Raw genomic sequence first — 18,984 nt, 5'->3', positions numbered from 1 at the left:
CAGGCTGTCTTGCTCCTGTGTGCTGCTGAGTGGTAGTCCCCGCCGTGGCTATAGGTTATTTGGCCAGTTGCTTCTAGCTTTTCATAACTAGCACTAGTGTGACAGTGGTTGTGATCCTTACACACACACCTGGCAGGCCTCTAGATCATATGGCTGGAAGTGGAATTGCTGGGTCTTAGCTAGGCACGTTTTTAGTTGAAGGAGGAACTGCCCTTTCCCTTCCCTTTCTTTGGCCCTGCGCCTGTGTACCACCTCCACTTCTCTCCCTGCGGGGTGGTATGTCCCGGCCTTTGCCCGGCCTCCAGCACAGCTCTCAGTTCCCACCCCTTCCTAGCAACGAAGCAGTGAGCGTTCCTGGCACAGGCCTCTGTCTGGGGGGACGCCCCCTTTAAGGGAATCATGTACCAAAGTGGGAGAGCCAGCAGCAAGCGGGGAGGAAGAACAGAAACGAAGCCTGAGAAAGTGGTGTAGGTTGGTGGGGAGGGCATCCCGGGGGCTGCCGAGGTCTACCAGGCCTCCAGATGTTCCTCTGGGCATCTGCCGCTTACTCCCAGCTGGCCCAGCTGACAGCCACACAGCTGATCTGGCTGGCGGTGCTGCGGGAGGGCAGGGGTGCAGGAGCCAGAGGCAGGAGGGTTTCAGTCCTGGATCTGCCACCTATCAGCTGTGGGACCTGGGGCAACTCCCTGAACTCTCTGAGCCTCACTGCCTGCACCCGGAACATGTTTGTGCAGTGGATGGCAGCTGTTGTGGTCAGCAAGGGCTTCTGTGTCCAGAGTGCCAAGGGAAGGGAGCTTCCAGGGCTGGGCTTTAGGAAGACCCAAACAGGCATTGTGATGGGCCAAGCAGTCAGAAATAACGAGAATAGCTAATCCTTCCATGTGCTGACGGTGCGCCAGGCATGGTTCCCAGGGCCTGTCACGCGCTAACGCACGTTACCCTGTGCAGTGGGTGAGCTGAGTCTCACATAGTTGGTAGACGACTAGGGACGTCACACCCTGGCCACTTGGCTCCTGAACACATCCTCTTAAAATCCATGATGTAGGAACTGCTACCACAGGTATCCCTGGGCTCCCTACCTCCTCACTGGGTGACAGATCTGTAAACTGAGTCCAGGAGGCAGAGCCACACCATCTGTGGGACGCCATGCAGCCCTGCAGCACATGGAGCTGGGGCAGGTGCCCAGCAGGGACCTCACTGAGTCTGTCACCTCCGCATTGGAACCCCACCCCAGCGTCTCCTGCTCCTGTACCTGGTACACACCGTCAGGGGTACATGCCTGGCTATGTCCACTTTCTGTCTGTCACATTCCTCCCTGGAATGAGCCCAGGTGACCATGTCACAGGTGAGCCACACCAGACCTCTCCCACCTCTGCAAGAGCATCCTTGGCCCCAGAGCTGCTTCATGATGACACGGGCACCCTCAAAAAGGAGTGAGAAGCTTGTCTCTGAGAAACATGTACGCAGGGCTTGGGTGGCCACCTGGTGTGACAGTGTGGTTGGACTACTTGGCTAAGAGCTTTCCACAGGGGCCTCTGAGGCCCTTCCAGCACAGGGCCCTGTACCTGGAGGCAGCCCCCTTCTGTGGACCTGGCCTCCCCTACACTCGGCGCCCAGCCCCTGGGGCCCAGCAGCCTCGGGTCCCATCCACCTGCTGGAGCTACTGCAGAAGGGAGGCAGGGGATGCTGTCACTGGGATCCTGCAGGGAGCGTGGCTGTTTCACCCTTCCAGCGCCCCCAGGGGGCCATTCCCCTCCACCTGTGGGAACAGGGCTCAGAGAGTACCCCTGATCTGCATGCTCCAGCTCTGTGCTCCTTGTGTTTAACGTGTCTGCTGTCATTGATAAAAATAGCAGTGAGCAGAGCCGGCCTGTGCAGAGCCTGGACCAAGCGCCAGGCCCCATGCCGAACACCTTCCGCCTATTGTCTCACTGATTCGCCACAGCCATCCTGGGAAGCGTAGGTGCAGGCAGCGAGGCTGAGAGCCCAGGCCCAAGCTCAAGGCCACACACCAGAAGTGCTGGGCCCAGAGGATGTGCAGTGCTGCTCCCGTAGCCTGTGGTGCTGATGATGGAAAGGATGGGCTCTCTTAGGAGCACTTTGAGCTGGGTCTTTGGAGGTTGGGACCCCTCTCCCCTAGACACAGGCCACTGTGGCCTGTGGCCCTTGATGCTACCCGCAGCCCAGGATCCCGAGCCCTGGCCTGGGTCTGAGGTGGCTGGTGCTGAGTCTTGGAGAAGAAGACAGTGCCAAGGGAAGCCCTGCAGGGGGTGCTTGCCACACTTCAGAGGGTGATTCTCCTGCCTTCTCTCTGGGATCAATACCAGGGAAGCCACTTGGGTTCACGCTACCAGAAAGTGCGTGTAAAAGTCAGAGCTGGTGGAGCAGGCAGCCTCCGGAGGTGGCGAGCTTGCTGGCCCTGGCAGTGTGGGAAAGGCTGGAAGTGGCACCTCTCTGCAGGACCCTAGGTTGCTGCATTGGAAGGGCATTTTCAGGTGTGCAGGGACTCTCCGAATGCTGAAGTTGGTGAGTCTATCCTCACCCCCACAAGCAGTTAACAGTTACCAGGGCTCAGACCTCTGACCACGGAGATCCTCGGGCACTCCAAACCCTGTGTTGGTCTCTGCGTTAATCATGGCCTTCTCTGTTGCATGTGACAGGAACTCTATCAAACTGGGTTAAGCAAAGAGGCTTTACTGGTTCACGGACCTGAAAAGTCCCGGGTATTTCTTGGCTCCATCTGGCTTAGGGTTGGCCCTGCCCCTTGCCAGATCCTCCCTGACCCAGGGCAGGAGGGCCATCAGAGAACCCCAGGCCTGTAGTCTGACCTCAAGGCAACCCCAGTAGGAGGAAGAGAGATTCTCCTCCCCTCATCGGCTCCTTCTGGCTCTTGTGCCTCTCCCTGAACCACTTGGGCAAGCAGGATGCAGGGCTCTGACTGGCCTGGAGCAGAGAGTAGAATCTGCCCACTAGGTCTTAGGGCCTGAGCTGGAGGGTAGGCTGGGAAACCTGGGGGCTGAAGCTAGGTGCTTGGGCATCCATCCACTTCCACATCTCTTAGGCATCCTGAACAGTTAAAAAGGACTGGAGCCAAGCACAATGGCACATGCCTGTGGTCCCAGCTGCTTGGGAGGCTGAGGCGGGAGGATCACTTGAAACTAGGAGTTTGAGGCCAGTCTAGACAACATAGTGAGACCTGGGTCTTAAAAGAGAGAGAGAGAACCCTTTCCTGGATCCTGCACACCCCTGCTGGGAAAATACCAGGGTAAGCACTCAGTGCTTTGCTCCAGCAGGTAGGTGTTCCCCACGTGCAATCCACAGCCTTGCAGCAGCTCTTCCTCAGAGCCTCACACAGCTCACTCTTCCCACCAGCAGCTCAGCTTGCCGCTGAAAGACGATGAGAGATGCGTGTGCAGGAAGTGACTGGTGCAGTCTGTGCTTACCTGTCACACTTGAATCTGAATCGTCATCTGATGTGAGGAAAAGCTGGCTCAGCCAGCTTTAGAGGAGGCAGCTAAGGCCAGACCTGGGAGCACACAGCAGGGATGGAGCCAGGAGGCTCCGACTACACTGCCTGCTGGGGCATTTTAGGGGGCAGCAGGGCCGGGGGTACAGAGGTGGGTCAGGTATAGATGATGAGAATGTTGCAGGCAGCACCTGTTAATGCTGGGTCCTTACAGGGTGGAATCAAGAAGAGCTAAAGAAAGAGTAACGGGTATACACAAAGGGACTGTGGGAATGGGGTGACTGCAGAGTTGGACGGAGTGGATTTTCAGCAGCAGGAAGGGCATCCGGAGGGTAGAGGGAATTTTTAGGGACTTCTGGGGCAGAAGCGTGGATTATAAGTCCTGGTACCCATCATCTTGCTGGGCAACCTGGAGCCAGTTTTTTGACCCTTCTGTGCCCCCATTTTGTTACCTGTCAAGGCTTTTGCATTGGCTGTTCCCTCCACCAGGGACCTTCTTCCTGGCTCTCTGCCCAGGCTCAATGCCATCTCGTCAGGGTGGGCTTTCCTGCCCGTCCTTCTGCCCCTTCCAGCTGAAGTCGATGCCGTCCCAGCTTTCTGTGGCATCACCCCGGGTGAGTTCTTCTAGCCCAGGCCTCTCCTTCCAGCTGTGAAGCCTGAAATGGTTTCTGAGGCCTGAGGCATGGTACGTTATGAGTACGAACTCATGGATTCTTCACAGTAACCATTGTGTGAACTGCTGTCATCCCCATTATACAGACACACAGAAAGGCTAAGTTCACTCACCCTGGGTCGCCCAGCCAGAAGTGGAGCTGAGACGGAAGTGTGGGCTTCTGACTCTCCCAGCCATGCCCCTGATGCTTGTACTGTAGCATATTTCTGTATTCTTGGACTTTATCTCCGTCTGTATCCCTCTCTAACTAGAAAGCATGTTTTTTGACGATGGGGACCATAACTGTGCTAGCATAGCACCTAGCCAGGGTAGGTGCCCAATAAATGTTTGTGGAATGAATGAAGGAGGTGGGTGTCCATAGGGGACCGCACAGCTTCCCCCTTGAAGTGACACAGACCCCTCAGCTCACAGTTCAGTGGCTGAAGCATGTCCTGCAGCCCTCTCCCCAGGGCAGGCGGGAAAGTAAAGTCCTGCCAGGAGAGGAGGTGGTGGGGGTCCAAGGCCACACCAAAGGCCCACCTTCGACCTGTGTGATGCTTGGCAGACCTTGTGGAACTCTGTGAGGCAGGGCACAGGTGGATGGAGAATTCACCACCCAGCAGGGCCACCAAGGACTGATTGGGGAAGGAAGGGCTTCATTACACGGGCTAGGAGTAGGGGAGGGTAGCAAGGTCCCAATGGCAGGGGATTCCCACCAGTAAATGCCCAGTGCCCTGGCCGTCTGCTGTCAGGGAGGCTGTTGAGGGCCTGTCACTCCTGCAGGGAGCTTTGCGGAGACTCCCAGCCCCACCCTGGAGCCGGCCCTGGCTGTCCAGCTGCAGCTTCTCCCTAGTTCCCCTCAGGTCAGCAGCGAGCTCTTCATCACCGGCCTAGGCCCCCTCACTGAGCATCCTCACTTCTGCGGTATGGCCCTTGAGGCCTGCCGGGTGGAATCCATCGCCCGCACTAGGTTCAGGCTAAAAGCTGACGCCATCCTGGACTCACTGCTCCTTGTCCTTCTTGCTCCTACCTCCACCGCCCCCACCTCGGCCACCCCCACCCAGATCCATCAGCAAATATTGACACCTCTGCCCTCAGACTGTGTCCTCAACCCGGCCCCCTCCCACCTCTGCTGCAGCATGGCCAGGTGCCCACAGGAGCCCCTCACTCAGCTGCCAGCTGGGCCCTGGCCCACGATCTCCCCAGCATGGCATCGCTCTTGTGGACTTAGGACCCCATCACCACCCTCTTGACCTCACACTGGGGCTTCTCAGCCCACTCGGGAGAAAGCCAGACCCCTCTCCATGGCCTGCTGTACAGTGCAGTCTGCCCACCGCCCCACTACCCCCTTCGCCTTCCCCCAGGGTCCCTGTGCTCAACCCTGGAATAGCCTCTCAGGTCTCCCCACCCACCTCAGCACCTTTGTCCTCACTGTCACCTCTTCCCAGAAAATTGCCTGATACCTCAGTCTCTGTCCCTTGCCCCCTGCACAGACTAGGCCTCTCAGCTGCACCCGCAGGGGCCCACGGCCTACTCCCAGCCAGTGTTCACCAAGAGGTGCCTGGCCCAGCAGACACATGGTGCTCACCTAATCCTGAAGAGCCCACGTGCCCGCTTCCCACAGCACCTTCCCCTCTTCCCTCTGTGCTCTGAGCACCTCCAGGGCCGAGGAGCCTTGTCCTGGAAGTCCCTGGATGTGGCACATCCACATCAGAGGGTGGATGGGGGCAAAAAAAGAGCAGCGGCAGAAGGCGGGACCCGGCTGGGCCTGGACCTGGTCACTGCAGCGGTGGCCTGGAGGGACCAGACAGCCTGGGTGGAGTTAGAGCATGCACCTATGTGGGGAAGGGACCAGACAGCCTGGGTGGAGTTAGAGCATGCACCTGTGTGGGGAAGGGACCAGGCAGCAGGGGTCGGGGAGCCTAGCCCGGCTCCCCCACTCACTGCCGTGGAGGCCAGGGAGCATAGGCCCAGGGACGCCAGAAGGTCTGATTTTTCAGAAGCCAGAAATCCAGATTTTTTGTGCACTCTTCCAGTTTTTAAATACTGGCAACGAACTAGAATTCTTTTTGTTAACAGTGTGTGGGCCAAAGAAAACCCAACTGTAGGTGAGCCATGGCGACCCCTCACCTGGAAGCTGAGGGAGGGAGAGAAGGGTGTGGGCTGGTGCTGGCATGGAGCAGGATGGTGAGGACCCAGAATCTGCTCTGGCCTTGGCTGTAGAGGCCTGGGGCATTGGAGCAGTTCTTGTTTGGAGACCCCCGAATCATAGCGAGGCATGTGATCTTGTGAATAGTGAAACCCTGGTCCTTCCATCCTGGGTCCCTGGGACAGGTAGGGACCGGGGCCACTCCATTACCACTTCTGTGCCAGGACCAAGCTGGCTGGTGTCTGCTCCCTGCCACACTCCTGGGGACAAGCTTACGGGTGTGGCCATCCTGGGATAAAAATAGCAGGGTCACCTTGCAGCCAGGAGGCTTCCTTTCACTTGCACATGGAAATGCGGTGTCTGCAGGGCACTGCTGTCAGCCAGGAACTGTGCAGGTTATGGGGCAGGTGGACACCGGTTTCATCTCCATCCCCCCCACCCCGGGGACAGAAGAATGCTGACTTCTACCTGCTGGGGCAAGGGGTCAGGCCCGGCCCCCTAATTAGTGGATGACCTGGCCGATTACACCCTAGCACAGGTTCTAGGTGTGCCATGAGGCAAGGGGGCCCAAGCCACACTGGGCTCCTCATGGACTCTTGAGGAAGCACGTGTCCCTGGAGGGTGTCCCCAACCACTTGACAGCCCTCGGTGACTCTGAGGACTCCGTCCAAGGGGACATGGAGCCAGTCTGGCCTGATGGCTCCATACAGCTCCCTGAGTGGCCTGGCAAACTCCAGAGAGGACACCCATCCTTCAGGGTCACATGTGGCCATCTTCAAAGCCCTCTCACACCAGCCTGTCTCCTTTTTTGTTTTTTTTTTTTTTGACATGGAGTCTTGCTCTGTCGCCCAGGCTGGAGTGTAGTGGTACAATCTCGGCTCACCGTAACCTGCGCCTCCCGAGTTCAAATGATTCTCCTGCCTCAGCCTCCTGAGTAGCTGGGATTATAGGTGTGAGATACCACGCCCAGCCAATTTTGGATTTTTAGTAGAGATGGGGTTTCACCATGTTGTCCAGGCTGGTCTGGAACTCCTGACCTCACGTGATCCACCTGCCTCAGCTTCCTGAAGTACTGGAATTACAGGTGTGGGCCACCACTCCTGGCCCAATCTCTCCCTTTGACCACCAGGACCACCCTGCCAGGTCAGCCAAGCAAGAGACCTACCACAAGATGGGCAGGACGTCTGAGGCCCCAAGGGAGAAGGGGCCTGCCAGGGCTCACACGGCCGGAGTGCCACAGCGGGGCAGGGCCTGCTCCCAGGGCTGGTGTGAGCAGCAAGGTCAGTGCCATGTCCCTGCAGCCTGCCTGGCCCTACAGACACCTGGCCAGGTGCAGACCTGGTGTGCTCTGGCCTGGCGCTAGGCCCCATCAGCCCACGACACACATGCCGTGCCCTATGCACATCCCTGCCCAGGCCTGGTTCTGCACACACCTTGGGCACCAAGAAGCTGGAGCCAGTGGAATGACCCATGCTCTGGGGGTCTGGTCTCCAGTGGACACACTCAGCCCTGCATGGCCAGCCCTGCCACTGGTGCTGTGACCTCCAGCTAGAAATGCTGCCTTCCTGCACCTTCATCACCCTCCCATGAATTAGGACTCGGCATAGAAACCTCTTACGGTGCTTACTGAGTGCGTCGTTGCAGGCATCTGACTACTTCCTCAGTGTTTACAGCAGGGGAAGCCAGGACCCCTGGAAGGTTATATGGCTGTTGGGCTCCCGAGTCTGGGCTCCTGAGCACCGCAGGTAACCAGAGTGCTGACCTCCTGGAGTGGGAATTGAGTGAATTAGTGTGCACAGGGCGCCTCAACAGCGGCGGCACAGAGCGATTTCTCCCCGCCGGTGCTGTGGTTGCTGTTATTACCCGTTGGCAGGCGGGGAGGGTTCCAGTCTGCTCAGAAGTGCAGCCTGGCATGGCGGCTTTCACACTGAGGGGAGCAGGGAGTTGGGCCGGACAGGGAACCCAGTTCTGAATGTGTGTGCGGGAGTTTGGGGCCAGTGCCCGGCAGCCGAGAAGGGGCTGCAGGCAGGGCAGGGGAGTGACGGTCCAGCTCCAGCTCCCACAGAAGCACCCCTGCAGCCAGCCCAGCCCATTCTTTGTACAAGGTCTGGGTGAGTCTAGGTGAAGGTGTTTGTACCAGGTCCCCCATATTTGGGTTTTGGGACAGGGCAGGATGCCTGGAGCCCAGGGTCTTCCAGTGCCAGCCTGGGTTCTTGAGTTCCCACCCAGGCTGGAGATGGAACTAGAGACCCCTGAATGCCTACAGGGATGAAGGCCGGTGCAGGTGGGCAGGGAGGGAGAATGTCGACCGTCCACTGAGCGGAGATCCCCTCCAGGTGCCTGGCTGGTGGCCGGGCAGCTGGGACTGAGTGTGCCTCTCGTCCTACCCCAGGAAGCCTGAGAAGGGAGTCCAGTACCTCATCGAGCGTGGCTTTGTGCCCGACACGCCCGTCGGGGTGGCCCACTTCCTGCTGCAGCGCAAGGGCCTCAGCCGGCAGATGATCGGCGAGTTCCTGGGCAACCGGCAGAAGCAGTTCAACCGTGACGTGCTCGAGTAAGTTCTGCATGGGGGTGGTGGGGGACCTGATTCCACACACGCCCTCACGCACCCTGTGTTACCCGTGGGCACACACAGGGCCAGGCCCACCCTACTTGCTGGGACATGTGGTGGGCCCCCCTTTCTCTCTTCCTAAGTCCTAGACACACACATGCAGATGCCCCACATCTGCCCAGCACGCAGGTGGGCACCTGCCCTCCAATGCACCATCCCACATGCGAACCCCACTGCCTGTCCGCCCACCCTCTGGCATGCACCCTTGGCCCCTCCCTTCCCTCCATCCCTAAGCACGGTTGATCCAACCCAGCACCAAGCATCACAGCCCTCAGTGACCCATGTTCCTGCAGCTTCTCATGGCAGGGCTGGCAGGAGCAGGCAGCTGGACGTCAGGGCCTCTTCCCCTGGCCTGGCTGTTGTCCTCCTGCATGGACTGCATGCCCTGTTTGCTCCTGACTCACCCCTGGGGAGAGTGGTGGGGAGTCAGATCAAGTGACCTGCCTCCCCGTGGGCGGCCCGTGCCACGCTCTGCCCCTGCCTCATTCTCCCGGCTGGGATATTGGGGCTGTGCGTCCTGCCCCCACCTCCTGATTCCACAGCTCTTCTCAGTTCAGAGAGCTGGTGAGCATAGCACTCCCGGCTACTTGAAAGCCTGCAGAAAAATGGGTTCCCAACTCCCTGAGCCAGAAGGGTGGGCCAGGAAGAGCACTCAGAGCAGGGTGAAGTGCTGGCCATCCAGGGGCAGTCCCTTCTAGCCGCCCAGCCCTGCCCATGTGCAGCCGAGGGGACCAACGAGGGCTGGGGAGAAGGTGCCCGGGAGCAGCAGCCCCTGGAGCACGAGGCCTCACGTTCCCTGGGGCTGGCCAGTACGCCTGCCATCTCTGCTGCTTCTCCCTAGGAGGCAGAGGGTGCCGTCGCCCTTTTTGTCTCATGGGTGGGGAAACCAAGGCTCAGAGTGGGAGGGGCTGGCCTGGGCACACATCCCCACACACGCAGACTCACATACACGGCACTCATGTAGTCCCCGTCCCACACCCAGGAGGCTAAGTGTGGCCAGCACATGGCAGGCACCAGCAGAATATCTGTGCCCTTGGTCTGCCAAGCATGCACAGGCTGGGCATCTTTCTCCCTGCTCAGCACCTGGAGAAGCCTGCTGTATCGTTAGGGTGGCTACTGCCCCCTCCCCTCTTTGAAGCAGGCGTGAGGAAAGGTCCAGGGGAAAGCCCATGAGCTCCTTGGTAAATGCCCAGCTCCCACCCCCATCCCCTGCAGCCATTCCTATGCTGCCCCGACTCCCCACTCCAAGCCGGTCCCTGGTCCTTAGGAAATCCGCACATTGTTTTCCTCAGGTCAGAAAATAGCAGTGGCCTCAGGAAGTGGCTGGCTCCCCCGGGCCACCACACCAGGCATCTGCAGGGCCGCTGCTCCTGCTGCTCAGCAAATCCTCTGCCTGCTCCCTGCTTGCCCTCTCCCCACTGCTCCGAAGTCACCTCCAAGGCTGTTGCCCCAGGAGGCCTTGAGCGCTCAGAGGAGGGTGGGAGCAGCTGCATCGCCCCCATGTGGAGATGGCCCTGGGAGAGGGGTCAGGCCCTGTGTGGCCAGGCCTCTCTCTGCCCCATGGGAGTGACCGCAGCATCATTAGGGAGCTTGGCCAGAAGCTGGAGCCTGCCTCAGGGCTCCTGGTGCAGACTCCATCTTCTCTGTTCAGGGGTCACCATAGGAGGGACTGGAAGGGTGTGCCGGGGCAGGGCCATGGGAAGAATGTGGAGACCATTCATCAGCCGCCCCTCCAGGCCCTGCCCCACAGATGAGGGTGCATGGCCCTTTCAAGTCCCTGGAAAAGCATCTGCAAAACCCAGCCCACCACCCCGATACTCTCCCCACAAGAGAACAGGCTTATTCTGAAAGTCAACACCCTGGGCGCCCCTTTCCTCACTGTGAAAATGGCAGCAAACTCCCCAACCCCGTGCAGAAGGAGAGGAGACTCACAGTGGCGTCCACTGTGTGCCTGGTGAGGGCTGTGCTTAAAAATGCTTGTCTCTTGGGAAGGGCTTTGATCCAGATAACCATATGCTCTGCCCCACTGGGAAAACTGCCAGCATAAATATAGGCACACGCGCTTCCCTACAGTTCCAGGGGCTTTGTGGGCTCCCCAGAAGACTGGAGGTCTTTTTGCTGCATTCTGAGGGCTCTTGGCTGATTGGTCGGAGTCAGGCAGGGGCTCTCCCTGCCAGGAGGCGGTCCATTCCCAGGGCTTCAGGCACCACCACCTGGGGGTGGGCTGGGCGTGTCGCACCTGCAAGGGGTGCTTATGCGGGGCTGTCTGTCTCTATTCCAGCTGCGTCGTGGACGAGATGGACTTCTCTACCATGGAGCTGGATGAGGCCCTCAGGAAATTCCAGGCGCACATCCGTGTCCAAGGGGAGGCTCAGAAAGTGGAGCGGCTCATAGAGGCGTTCAGGTGGGGCCCGGGCTGGCTGGGGCTGCTGCATCAGGGAAGAATGGTGTCCCCCAGCTTCAGGGCCCGAGGATGGACCAAAGACTGCATCCCCACCATCCCTAGACAGGGCCAGGTGTCCCTGAATGTTGCTTTGGGGGTGATCGTACTGGCTCCTCCTACGTTCCAGGCACTGTGACGGGCTCCTTTCAGCCATTGTGAGGTGGTGGGGGTGGAGAAGACTGTACCGATTATTTTAATTGTGAAGATGAGGAAACTGAAGTTGAAAGAGGTTATGATTGCGACTGCTAGGATTCTGGCTGTTCACATCAGGATTCTGAATGCTCTTCCTCTAATTCCCCCCAAGCTCTGCATTCATCCACAAGTCCATCTATCTAGTCATTCATTTGCTCATTCACAGTGACTCGGAGCACAAGCCAGACAGCCAGATGCCTGGTTCAGTCACCGACTCTACCACTTACCGGCTCTGTGGCCCTGTGCTGGTTACTTAACTTCTCTGTGCCTCATTTCTTCACCTGTGAAATTGAATAACAGTAGCACATACCCTAGAAAGAGGTGCAAGGATGAAATGACACAGGACATGTGGGCACACTTAGCCCAGTTCCTGACACAACAGTGAGCTCGCGGTCACTACGCAGTCATCCATTCTGGGATCACGTGCAGACTGGCAGTGTAGAAGCCTGCATGTTTGGTGCTGGGTGTGGGCGGCACAGGTCAGCTGCTGACCCAGCCCTCTGGGCTCCACACTGGTGATGGGGCCAGGAGGATCGAGGACACAGAGGGAGGACAACCCCAGGGCCCTGGCGGGAGGCAAGGTGCACCCACCTCCTTCCAGGACGGCTTCCTGGAGGGGAGGGCACTAAGCTGGGCTCCTGAGCCTCAGTCCCGGTACTTTGCCTGGCTCCTCTACTCTGTCCCTGCCTCTTGTCACCTGCCCCTCCACGAGGTCACCAGTGGAGGGGCCCCTGGGGTGGCAGCGGGAGTGGCAAGCGGGCTGACTCCAAGGCAGGGGGGTGTTCTTGCAGCAGTCGGTCCACAGCTGTTGAACCTGAGGCCCCTCAGTAGCCATGGCTGAGACAAGGCAGAGTGCTTCTCCCTCTGAGCTGGTGTGGAGGTGCCCCTGGCTGCTTTCACCTCAAGGTCCCGGAGGGCAGGCCTGACACCCACTGTGATGTCCCCATTGCAGGCAGCGGGGAGAGGGGCCCAGCCTTACAGGCACTCACATCACATGTGTTCACATCCCATGGGCTGAATGTGGTGGTGTGGCTACTCTGAGCTCCCGGGAGCTGGGAAATGTAGTCCTCCCCAGGACGGCCATGTGCCCGGCTAAAATCCAGGTAGGAGGGACTACAGTAGAGTGAGGAGGGCAAGTGAGTAGTCAGGGCCAACTCCGACAGGCAGGTGTGATCCTCGCTCACCAGAAGCAGGAGCTGAGGCTTAGCGGCACATGACAGCCTCAGCGGGTGAGAGAGGGGCCGTGTCACTTGCTGCGCCATGGCCCTGACCCCCTCCCTCCCGGCCCGCAGCCAGCGCTACTGCATCTGCAACCCTGGGGTGGTGCGGCAATTCCGGAACCCAGACACCATTTTCATCCTGGCCTTCGCCATCATCCTGCTGAACACCGACATGTACAGCCCCAATGTCAAGCCCGAGCGGAAAATGAAGCTAGAGGACTTCATCAAGAACCTCCGAGGTGAGCTGTCTCAGGCGGTCGGCCAGCCACAGATTTGCTCCAGCACCTGCCCCAGCCAGGCCCTCCCCAGATGTAAGGGGCGTGAGGCAACCTCCAGTTGGGGAGCTGTGCTCCGGCACTCCAGGGTCTGGCATGGAGGGGCCTTTGGGGAGCACAGATGACTGGAAAGAGCATTGCCTTAGAGGAGCCCCCGTGGGACACAGGCTGCATGACACAGGCCGGGGTCTCGAGGTGTTGGGAAACCTTCCTCACAGAGAAGGTGACACTGTTAGCTTGTCCTTGAAGGATGAAACTGGCCTTTTTCTTTGTGTCTTTACCTAAAAGTATATATTTTAAAAGGGGACTTGATATCGCTACTGTAAATGGAGAATGAGTAGCATTTGCCACATGTAGAAAGTAATTATACATTCTTTCTTTTCTTTGCAAGAAAAGAAAGCAGTGCTGCTGAGTTCTAGCCCAGTGCGGCTTCCGGCTGCTGGCACTGGAGTGCAGACCCGGCTCCCTGCCCTCAGGGAGGTGGGCATGTGCTGGGAGGTGTTGGTGCGGAGTCTACAGGCAGCGAGGCATCCTTGTGTGATCAGAAACAGGAAAGGAACTAAAAGGCCGTGACCTTCTCCCAAGTGGCTCTGTGCCAGCCCAGTGTGTCCCCTGTGTGCCCCAGGGTCCCCGGAAGGAAGGAGGAAGGCACCGCATCCCTCAGTCCCTGTGGGAACCCTGGCTGCAAGAGCTGAGGGTGGGTTGAAAACAGGGGCTGAGGGTTCCTTGGAAAGGTTGTCACTATTTGTAACAGCAAAGAAGAGCCAGTGTGAATACAGCCTGGCTCTAAGAGCGTGTGGAGCTGACAAAGCTGTTCATTCTTAGTTTATTCAACAGCGGTTCTGCCGTCCCTTCTCCTTGAACAGTGTCACTCTCCAGGGAGCAGCTCCAGCTCTACTCCGGGGTCTCCAGGTGCCCTCCCCTTCCCCTGGTGGCGGGTGCCGCTGTGGCAGGAAACCCAGGTAGCAGAGGCCTCAGGGAGATGGCACCTGAGCTAGGCTCCAAGACCTGAGTGGTTCTGCCACCTCCCTTGGGAGGCAGGAAGGGGCGCTGAGCAGGCTGGGGCGTGGCTTAGAGCTCATGGACAGCCATTCCCTGCACCCAGCAGTTACTGTACGTGGCCTCCTGCAAGGTCTGAGGGGCATCGCAGGCCCCAAGTCCATCAAGTCTGTAGTTCCTGGGAACCAAGGCAGCTTGAGAGCTCCCGAGGGCCACCAGTGGACACTTTGATGGTACAACATGTACTCCCAGGCCCAGGTGTCCAAGCAGCAGCCAGGAGGCCGGGCCTCCTCTACATCCACCCGGGGCCTCTCATCCTGAGCCTCCCTTCTCATGGGGCCAAGCCTGTTTCTAGGATTCACAGACCTCCGCATGACCCCTGATGCAGGCTGGCCATCGCCTCCAGGAAAGCCAGCTGTGTGCTGCATGCTATTGGCAGCCCAGGGGGAGTTTGAGGGTCTCTGATTTGTTTTAATTACTTCATGTATTTATTTATATTTAGAGGTCCCTCTGGCAGCCCAGGGACAGTTTGAGGGTCTCTATAATTTGTTTACATTTATTTATTTATTTATTTAGACATGGTCTTCCTCTGTCGCACAGGCTGGAGTGCAGTGGTGCAATCATATCTCACTTCAGCCTTGACCTCCCAGGCTCAAGAGATCCTCCTGCCTCAGCCTGCCAGGTAGCTGAGACCACAGGCGCGAACTGCCATGCCCGGCTAATTTTTAATTTTTATTTTTTCTAGAGGTAGGGTCTCACTATGTTGCCCAGGCTGGTCTTGAACTCCTTGGCCTCAAGTGATCCTCCCACCCTGGCCTCCCAAAGTGCTGGGATTAAAGGCTTGAGCCACCGTGCCTGGCCAGGTTTTTTTTTTCTTACTTTAGAACCTCCTGCACGTCATCTGGGATATGCTGGATGAGACATAGCAGGAGGAACCAGAAATGACTGGCCTAGAGTAGAGAAGGCTTGGCAGGGCAGGGCTGCTGAGTCAGGTGGCGGCCAGTCTGTACCTCAGTGGCAGTGGCTCTGTGGGTCCTGTCCATGGTTGCACCCAGTACTGCCAGTTCTCTGGATGACAGGGTGGCAGGAGCCTCCCCACTTCCCATGGAAGGGGCTGTGCACCCCATTCCCAAGAAGGGAGCTGCAGGTTCTGTCTCCCAAGCCTGGGCTGTCCCCACCAAGTCACCCCTTTTCAGCCCAGAGCTCAGGGACATTCTTTCTCATCTTCCTCATGCTTCAGAATGGGTGATCAGGGCTCAGAGAAGGAAGGGACCTGCCCAGGGTCACATCAACCAAGAAATGGCTGAGGCCAGGCAGGTCCCTGGACTCCTGGAGCCAGCCTGGTGCTCTGTGCCGAGTGCATGGACAGCTTGTCCTTTTTGTAGGGAAATCCTCACCCCCTCCCCAACACACATCCTCTCTGGAGTGGGTCAGCGCAGTTTGTCCAGTGGGTCCCGCAGCGGGAGAGCCCTGGGGGCTGGAGGACTGTGAAGGCGGAGTAGCTCACCACGGAAGCCAGTCCAGGAGTCTTTCCTTGTTATTAAAGTTTGTTCTTAAATTTTTTAATTTATTTTTTGAATGGATATTCACATAGTTTGAAAGCCAGAAAGTAATATGATCCAGCAGTTGTGCTCCTTGATATTTACCCAAAAGAACTGAAAACTTAGGCCCACAGAAAAACCTGCACACGGATACTTATAGCATCTCCATTCAAAACTGTCAAAATGTGGCAACCACCAGACGTCCTTGAGCAGATGAAGGGATAAATAAACTGCGTGCCTCCAGACAGTGGAATAGTGCTCAGCACGAAAGAGAAGTGAGCTATCGACCATGAAGAGATGTGGAGGAAACTTAAGTGTGTAGCACTGAGTGAAAGAGGCCAGTCTGAACAGGCTGCGTGCTATGTGATTCCAACTCTATGACATTCTGGAAAAGGCAAAACTATGGAGACAGGAAAAGGATGAGTGGCTGCCAGGAGCTGGGGAAGGGGAGGATGGGTATGCGGAGCTCAGAGGATTTTTAGGGCGGTGACACTGTTCTGCGTGGTGCTATAATGGTGGATGAGGGTCGTTCTACGTTTGCCCAAACCCACAGAATCACAGCATCTGGAGTGGACCCCAATCTAAAACATGGACCTCGGGTGACGCTGATGTGTCCGTGTAGGCTCATCATTGTGCCAATGGAGCACTCTGGTGAGGATGGCGACAGCGTGGAAGGCTATGAGTGTCGGGGGGCAGGGCATACATGGGAAGTCTGCCTTCTGCTCAATTTTGCTGAGAACCTACACCTGCTCTAAAAATAATGTCTATTTAGGAAAATAAAAATAAAAAATACTGGAAGGTGCCTAGCAGTTTCCTTCCCACCCTGCCCCACCTGCTCAGGGCATAGCCTCTGCCCCTGAAGTTCCTCGATTTTGGCTTCTCCTGGCTGTGCCCCCTAGTTGTGCTCCGCTCATGCAAGTGCACATATGCAGGAATGGTTTTATCCCCTGCTACTTTGCACCTTGCTTTTCCCACTTACTAAATCTAAGAGAAACGGCCCATGTGCTTTACTGTGGCCTTCTTCACTGTTCTTGGCAGGTGCGTAGTAAGTAGTCTGTCGTGCTGATGTGGGATGATTGAGCACTCCCCTGTTAATGGGTACACAGGTTACTTCCAGCCTTTTGCCATTTGGAAACAGTGCTGCGATAACGTTGTATGTGTCTCATTTCCCATGGGATAAGTTCCCCAAATGCAGTCAGTGGACCAGAGGGTGCTAGAACTTGTCATTTGGACAGGCATTGCCAGGTTGCCTACCCCGGGTTGGAGCATCTCCTGTCCTGCCAGCCATCTGTGGGAGGTCCATGTTCCCCAAGCACTGCAGCCTTTTGGACTGCAGTCTGGCGGATGGGTGAGGGTAGAGCTCACTGCAAAACGAGTTTGCATTTCCCATATGTATAAGGCTGTTTCTCTGCTCACAGCGGTTTTCAGAGTGGGGAGGAAGAAAGAAGCAGTGTGTGCTTGTGGTTAGGGCAGCCCCGGGTCAGAGCCCAGCCTCCAGCCTCTGCCCATGTGATGTGGGCCAGCAACAGCAACCACTGCAGCACTCCCACCGCTCAGATGCAGAGCTGGGCACGCCCCAGGCGCCCCTCGTTTCCTCACAACAAGCCTGTGCTGTGGGCAAGGTGTTTTAGAGGAGGACACCAAGCATGGTTGAGGCAGTCACTCGCCCATAGTCACACAGCTAGTAAGGGTGAAAGTAGGACGTGGCCCCAGGTCCATCGGAGCCCAAACAAACCCCAGCCTCCCTATACTCCAGCCTCCCCACACGTCAGCCTCAGTCTTCCCATCTGTGGAATGGAGATGATTATACCCACTTCGAAGGGCTGTGGTTAGCATGGAGCAGGGTAGCATTTATAAAGCCCTCTGAAAATGGCTTAGAGGTGGCTCAGCCCCTGACACCCATCGCCTACTAGACCGGGTCGGATGTATTGGGCCCGTTCTGGTAGGAGGACTGAGGAAATTTGTGTTGACTGAAAATGTCCTGTTGCTGTGGGCCTGCCTGGGAGTTCTTTGGTTCTGTTGGGTCTAGTGGAAGGTTCGCTCCTCTGATTTGCTTTAGAAACTGGTAAATCGAGTGAGCCTGGGGCCCACCCTGATATCCAGCTGCATCCCCTACCCAGGTGTGGACGATGGTGAGGACATTCCCCGTGAGATGCTGATGGGGATCTATGAACGGATCCGTAAGCGAGAGCTAAAGACCAATGAGGACCATGTGTCCCAGGTGCAGAAGGTGGAGAAGCTCATTGTGGGGAAAAAGCCGGTATGTGATGGGCCCTGGTACGTGGTGGGCCCCAGCACCACCCGGGCGGGGCTGCCTGCCAGGCCTTCTCACTCCCACCCACCCCACTCCGTGTGGTCTCTTCCAGCAGGGCTGGTGAATTCTGCCAGGGCTTGGGGTTTTTTCGAGTGTCTCCTGTCATATTTGGGAATAACAGCTATTGGCTCTGCGTTACAATCTGAAGAGAGCTGAGGCTCTTAATGATCTAGCAGGCCAGGGTTGTGCAGTGGCTGAGTTCTGGGCACCCGACACTGGCAGGCTTTCCTGGGTGGTCCAGGAGTCCCCTGGGACCCCTCAGAGAGCTCTGCCAGAGAGAGTGGGTACCCCACATACTGGCTGGGTGGATCCCAAGGGTAGGTGTAGGGAGGGGCACTTGCAGCATTGGCCTGGGCGTGGCTTTGAAACATGAACACCCTTTTGTTGGTTTCACATTCTCCCGCAGATCGGATCCCTGCATCCCGGGCTCGGCTGTGTGAGTATTTCTCTGGTTTTACCTTTGTGGGTAGCCCGCCGCCCTGGGGAGGCCCAGCATCAGCCAGTCCGCCGGCTCCCCAGGCTCCCAGAGCCCAAGTGCTGGCTGCTTGAGTTCATTGCTGGGGTGCTGAGAATCAGATGTTCGTAATTACCCCAGCCTCAGATCTCTGCAGGCCCTGAGGCTGTGCTGTCAGGGGAGACTCCTGCTCCCTCTTGTTGACGCCCTGTTGAGCCCAGCCCCCAGACCCTGCGCCTGAAACAGACCCCGGTGTGTCCTCTGAGGCCCTGCCCTGTCCGCTACCTGGCCCTGCTCTGTGCTCTGTCCCCCACATCCCATGCCCCAGGCTCTCCCAGTGCCTGCCTCCTCACCCCCAGGACCCGTCCTCTGCCATAGCTTTGTGGTGTGCCCACACGCCCCAGGACACATGCACACAGGGTGACTGGGCTGCTCACCATGACCCTCCTTGTGGACTGGCTTTGTCCCTCAGTCCTGAAAGCCGCTCTGCCTGCCCTCACCCTCCCCAGCTTCCCCTGCAAGAGACCAGTCCCCTCCCACCTCCAGCCAGTGCTCCCCGAACCCTCCCATCCTCTCTCCTTCATACCTTTGCAACCTAAGCACCCCAGGCTGGGCCACATTTTCCCCCTCATCTTAACCCCCAGATGTGCCAAACTCAGGCAGCCCTG

At 57.8% G+C, this 18,984-nt stretch overlaps 1 protein-coding gene and 1 long non-coding RNA gene across 33 annotated transcripts in view, besides 1 other annotated feature; one reads left to right on the top strand and one right to left on the bottom strand.

Annotated features, from left to right (window-relative positions):
• The window catches only part of LOC105376956 (uncharacterized), a 66,549-nt gene that overhangs the window by 9,491 nt on the left and 38,074 nt on the right, over positions 1–18,984 (bottom strand). The window lies entirely within an intron of this gene.
• IQSEC1 (IQ motif and Sec7 domain ArfGEF 1) overlaps positions 1–18,984 on the top strand; it is a 386,215-nt gene that overhangs the window by 349,856 nt on the left and 17,375 nt on the right. For 23 of the 32 annotated variants that reach the window (XM_047449348.1, XM_047449340.1, XM_047449346.1 and 20 more), the window contains 5 exons: positions 8,660–8,821; positions 11,160–11,282; positions 12,806–12,972; positions 17,669–17,808; positions 18,269–18,298. In XM_047449348.1, the coding sequence (XP_047305304.1) occupies positions 8,660–8,821; positions 11,160–11,282; positions 12,806–12,972; positions 17,669–17,808; positions 18,269–18,298 (622 nt within the window). The remainder of the gene's footprint in view (positions 1–8,659; positions 8,822–11,159; positions 11,283–12,805; positions 12,973–17,668; positions 17,809–18,268; positions 18,299–18,984) is intronic. The other 9 variants (XM_047449347.1, XM_047449339.1, XM_047449358.1 and 6 more) reach the window with 1 other exon arrangement.
• Positions 5,328–5,827: an enhancer, noted in NCBI's record as "H3K4me1 hESC enhancer chr3:12969075-12969574 (GRCh37/hg19 assembly coordinates)". NCBI's record gives its function as "activates a minimal SCP1, AML or CMV promoter by ChIP-STARR-seq in naive H9 embryonic stem cells {active_cell/tissue: H9 hESC(naive)}" and the evidence as "EXISTENCE:reporter gene assay evidence [ECO:0000049][PMID:30033119]".

Source organism: Homo sapiens, chromosome 3 (assembly GCF_000001405.40).
Source record: "Homo sapiens chromosome 3, GRCh38.p14 Primary Assembly".
Classification (NCBI taxonomy): domain Eukaryota; kingdom Metazoa; phylum Chordata; class Mammalia; order Primates; family Hominidae; genus Homo; species Homo sapiens.
This window is presented reverse-complemented; position numbering and strand designations above follow the sequence as displayed.